Here is a 6000-nt window from a genome sequence, read left to right as displayed (position 1 = left end):
TGTCGCCCACGCTGGAGTGCAGTGGCGTGATCTCGGCTCATTACAACCTCTGCCTCCTGGGTACAAGCGATTCTCCTGCCTCAGCCCCCTGAGTAGCTGGGATTACAGGTGGGCGCCACCACGTCTGGCTAATTTTTGTATTTTCAGTAGAGACAGAGTTTCACCATGTTGGCCGGCTGGTCTCAAACTCCTGACCTCAGGTGATCTGCCCACCTTGGCCTCCCAAACTGTTGGGATTACAGGCGTGAGCCACTGCGCCCGTCCGTGTTTTATAATTCAGAGTTTAAGTGCAACATTAGTGGAGCTTTACCTGTGTGATCCTGTGTATCTCAGGTTTGGGATGTGGGCTTCCAAAGTATTTTTGTACTTGTTTCTGCCAGGCACCAGAGACTAGGAAAAATTTTTATGTCAACTTTTCATTGTAGGAGTTCTTGGTCCATGCAGGTCGTATGGTATGGCTCAGGGTTATACATTTTTCAGGGGAGGTATTTTTCTACCCAGAGGCCAGGCAAAGAAACGTATTCTTCGTCGTCAGCTTGTGCTAGCAGGTAGGTTTTTTTCTTTTCCACCTTTTACTAATGGTTCATCTCTTCAAGACCCAGGAGTTATGTAGAATATGCCGTTCCAATTCCTTGCCTTATGTAAGTCAAAGGAATTCATTATGAAGCTAAACCAGCATTCGATTGAAAGAGTTAAACAAAAACCTTTATAGACAAAGAGTTACACAAATTTACTACCAACACATCCTTGTGGGCCAGGCACTATGGCTCATGCCTGTAATCCCAACACTTTGGGAGGCTGAGATGGGAGGATGGCTTGAGCCCAGGTGTTCTAAATCAGCCTGGGCAGCATAGCAAGACACCATCTCAAAAAAAAATTTGTTTAAGTCCTTACTGAGAAAAAAAAGCAAAGGATTTTCATAAGGAAAAAGATATTTGAGCAAGGAAACAAGAGTTCAGATGGAAGACCTATGAGAATAAATGTATTGGTAAATGTATTGGTAAATGTATAAGTAAAGCTAAACAGGAATTTACTACATATTTTTAAGGATGGTTATTAAGGGGGCATTAAAACATAATGGAACTTCAGGTTATGAGCTGCATACAATAAAATAAAATAAACTAAAAAAAAACAGAAAACACATAATGGAACTAAGATACTGGACAATAACATCATGTAAAATGGAGAAAGTTAGATCAAATCGGATTAGAACTTAGGAGGACATGTAATCAAAAGGGACTTTTGATAGTTTAGTTTCTGGTTAGTTTAATCCAGAAAATTTTATTTTCCCATTAACAAGAAATCCAGAAACTAATGACACTTGGGTCAGTTAAGTTAGTGGTTCCTTAGTGCCATTGCAGACCCTGTCTCCATCTTCCCCTCTGGCCTCTTTCTTTGATGCCCAGGTTAATGTGCCAACCCAAAGTCCAGATCCCTTCTGTCTTTAGATCCCTCTTTGTTCAGTCTATCTAGGGATTTCCATTTCTGACCTTGAAGTACTTTCTTCTGTGTACACATATATATTTTTCCCTAAATTGGAATCATGCTGTACATTCCATTTTATTACCTGTCCTTCTAAAAATATTCATCATTAAAATATTTAGCATAACTATAAGAAAGTCTTTAACTTCTTTTATTCTTTTTTTTTGTTTTTTTTGTTGAGAAGGAGTTTCACCCTTGTTGCCCAGGCTGGAGTGCAATGGTGCCATCTCGGCTCACTGCAACCTCTGCTGGTTCAAGCAATTGTCTTGTCTCCAGCCTCCCTAGTAGCTGGGATTACAGGCATGTGCCACCATGACCAGCTAATTTTGTATTTTTAGTAGAGACGGGGTTTCTCCATGTTGGTCAGGCTGGTCTCAAACTCCCGACCTCAGGTGATCTGCCCACCTCGGCCTCCCATAGTGCTGGGATTACAGGCATGAGCCACCGTGCCTGGCCAAAATCTTGATTTCTTATAACCAGAAAGGTGGAAGCTACTCAAGTGTCCATAAATGAATGAATGCACAAACAAAATGTGGTATATCCATACAATGGAGTATCATTCAGCCTTAAAAAGGAAGGGGCTGGGTGTAGTGGTGCATGCCTGTAATCCCAACACTTTGAGAGGCTGAGGTGGGAGGATCCCTTGAGCCCAGGAGTTTGAGACCAGCCTGGGCAGCATAGGGAGACCCTATCTCTGTACAAAATTAAAAAAAATAAATTAGCTAGAGGCCAGGCATGGTGGCTCACGCCTGTAATCCCAGCACTTTGGGAGGCTGAGGCGGGTGGATCACCTGAGGTCAGGAGATGAGACCAGCCTGGCCAACAGGGTGAAACCCCGTCTCTACTAAAACTACAAAATTAGCTGGTCATGGTGGCACATGCTTGTAATCCTAGCTACTTGGGAGGCTGAGGCAGGAGAATTGCTTGAACCTGGAAGGCAGAGGTTGCAGTGAGCCAAGGTCGTGCCATTGCACTCCAGCCTGGGCAACAGAGCGAGACTCTGTCTCAAAAATAAATAAATAAATAAAAATAAAAATTTAGCCAGGTGTGGTGGCACGCATTTTTAGTCCCAGCTACTCAGGAGGCTGGCATGGGAGGATTGCTTGAACCCAGGAATTTGAGGTTACAGTGACCTATAATTGTGCCAGTGCACTCCAACCTGGGTGAGAGTGAGACTTCGTCTCTACAAAAGAACAAAAAGGAAGGAAATTCTGATATGTGCTACAACATGGGTGAACCTGATGGATATTATGCTAAGTGAAATAAGGCAGTTATGAAAAATGCAAATACCGTATGATTCCACCTATATGAGATACCTAGAATAGTCATATTCATAGAGACAGAAAACAGACTGGTGGCTGCTAGGGGCTGGGAGCAGTGGGGAATGGGGAGCTGTTGCTTAATGGGTACAGTTTCAGTTTTGCAAGACAAAAAAGTTCTGGAGATTGGTTGCACAATGTGAATGTACTTAACACCATTGGACTGTATACTTTAAAATGATTAAGATGGGTTGGGCCCTGTGGTTCACACCTGTAATACCAGTAATTTGGGAGGCCGAGGCAGGCAGATCGCTTGAGGTCAGGAGTTCCAGACCAGCCTGGCCAACGTGATGAAACCCCCGTCTCTACTAAAAATACAAAAATTAGCCAGGTGTGGTGGCGGGTGCCTGTAATCCCAGCTACTCGGGAGGTTGAGGCAGGAGAATCGCTTGAACCCAGGAGACGGAGGTTGCAGTGAGCCGAGATCATGCCACTGCACTCCAGCCTGGGTGACAGAGTGAGACTCCATCTCAAAATAAATAAATAAAATGATTAAGATGACAAACTTTATGTTATGTGCATTTTAGCACAGTTAATTTTTTTTTTTTTTTTTGAGATGGAGTCTTGCTGTTTTTGCCCAGGCTGAAGTGCAATGGCAGGATCTCGGCTTACTGCAACCTCTCCCTCCTGGGTTCAAGTGATTCTCATGCCTCAGCCTCCCGAGTGGCTGGGATTACAGGCACCTGCCACCACTCCCAACTAATTTTTGTATTTTTAGTAGAGCGAGGTTTTGCCACGTTGGCCAGGCTGATCTCGATCTCCTGACCTCAGGTGATCTGTCCGCCTCAGCCTCCCAAAGTTATGGGATTACAGGTGTGAGCAACCACACCCAACTGGTTAAATTTTTTTTTTTTGAGATGGAGTCTCCCTCTGTTGTCCAGGCTGGAGAGCAGTGGTGCGATCTCGGCTCACTGCAAGCTCCACCTCCCAGGTTCACACCATTCTCCTGCCTCAGCCTCCTGAGTAGCTGGGACTACAGACACCCGCCACCATGCCCGGCTAATTTTTTGTATTTTTAGTAGAGACGAGGTTTCACCATGTTAGCCAGGATGGTCTCGATCTGCTGACCTTGTGATCCATCCGCCTCGGCCTCCCAAAGTGCTGGGATTTCAGGTGTGAGCCACCATGCCCGGCCTGGTTAAATTTTTTTAGGGGAAAAAATTAGCAGGGCATGGTGGTGTGCGCCTGTGGTTCCGGCTACATAGGAGTCTGAGGTAGGAGGATCACTTGAGCCAAGAGGCTGAGGCTGCAGTGAGCCAGGATTGTACCACTGCACTCCAGCCTGGGCAACAGAGTAAGACCCTGTCTCAAGAAAAAGGGTAAGAGGGAGAAAAAATCTTGATTCCTATTTTGAATGGACAATACGTATACATGTTACAAAAATCAGAAAATGCAAAAAGGCATACAATGTTTTCACTATGGGCCTTCCCTGTCATCTAGTCTTCTCACCTGTCCCACAACCACCCATCTACTCATCATCTCCCTTGAGTATCAATTGACATCATTTTTTTTTTTTTTTTTTGAGATGGAGTCTTGCTCTGTCACCCAGGCTGGAGTGCAGTTGTGTGATCTCGGCTTACTGCAACATCCGCCTCCCAGGTTCAAGCAATTCTCCTCCCTCAGCCTCCTGAGTAGCTGGGATTACAGGCGTGTGCCACCACGCCCAACTAATTCTTGTATTTTTAGTAGAGATGAGGTTTCACTATGTTGGTCAGGCTTGTCTCGAACTCCTGACCTAATGATCCGCCCGCCTCAGCCTCCCAAAGTGCTGGGATTACAGGCGTGAGCCACTGTGCCCAGCCACTACTTTCTTGTGTGTCTTTTCATAGGTATTCTATGACTCATTCTTTTAAATAGCTGTATGTTATTTAATTGTGCATATGCACCATTCTTTCACCATTCCCTTGATCATTCAGTTGTTTCTAGCTTGACATTTCTTTGAAATCTCCTCTTCTAATAAAAAAAAGTGCACTCCATTAGACATGTATTTATTTCACATATTCTTTGTTTTAGTTATACTTATTTTAATAGGCAATATATTCACAGGGTTCAAAATTCAGGAAGCCCAAGAGGGTAAACATTAAAATATCCCCCTGCCACTGCTGTCTCCCAGGTCAACATATTTCCTTCTGGGCTTGTCATGCCTGTTTCTTCACAAATCCATTCCCAGCTCTTTGTCAGCTCTGCTTTCTATTGCAGGAAACTACATTTCCCAGTTTCCTTTGCTTGGTGGCTTCTGGCTAGCTTCAGGCAATGGGGGAAGGGCAGGCACTGGTACAGACTGGAGGGTGCAAGGAAGGCAGAGCCAAGGTATTTCTCTGTCTCCTCATGCTTTGCATAGGGTTTCCTGCAGTTGCTGCAACTTCTTGGCTCCAGCTCCCCTCTGGGCAGCCCCCACCACGGTTCTACTACTGCTGAATTGGCCCAGCTTCTGGGATCTGGTAACAACACCTCCTCCCTGTGTTCCTTCATCCGTAAGGCTGGTAGTCATTTCTTGCTATTAATAACTCCAAGGTTAATTCATAATCTTCTATTTGGTGTCCTAACTCTTTATCACCTAACCAATTTCTTCTATTAATTTCCCTCTGAACGAAATACTACTATCTGTTTCTTGTGTGTATCTTTCCAGAATATTTTATGCATATAGAAGCAAATTATATCTATTCTCTCTCTTCTATTTTTTTCACAAATGATAACATATTATATACACTATCCAACACTTTGCTTTTTCATTTAGCAATAATCCTGGAGTTCTATATACAATTCTAAAGATTCTCTCCATTCCTTTTATTTTTTATTTTTTTGATGCGGAGTCTCACTCTGTTGCCCAGGCTGGAGTGTGATGGCGTGATCTTGGCTCACTGCAACCTCTGCCTCCTGGGTTCAAGCAATTCTCCAGCCTCAGCTTCCTGAGTAGCTGGGATTACAGTCACTCGCCATCATGCTTGGCTAATTTTTGTATTTTTATAGAGACGGGGATTCACCATGTTGGCCAGGCTGGTCTTGAACTCCTGGCCTCAGGTGATCTGCCCGCCTTGGCCTCCCAAAGTGCTGGGATTACAGGCATGAGCCACCGTGCCCAGCCTCTCTCCATTTCTTTTAATCCAACATGGAGATGTACTGCAATTAGATTGTTGGAACACAATCATGCTTATTTGTTTATGTATTGTTTATGGCTGACAGCTTTCATATTGTGGGT

This window comes from Homo sapiens, chromosome X (genome assembly GCF_000001405.40).
Source record: "Homo sapiens chromosome X, GRCh38.p14 Primary Assembly".
Classification (NCBI taxonomy): Eukaryota; Metazoa; Chordata; class Mammalia; order Primates; family Hominidae; genus Homo; species Homo sapiens.
This window is presented reverse-complemented; position numbering follows the sequence as displayed.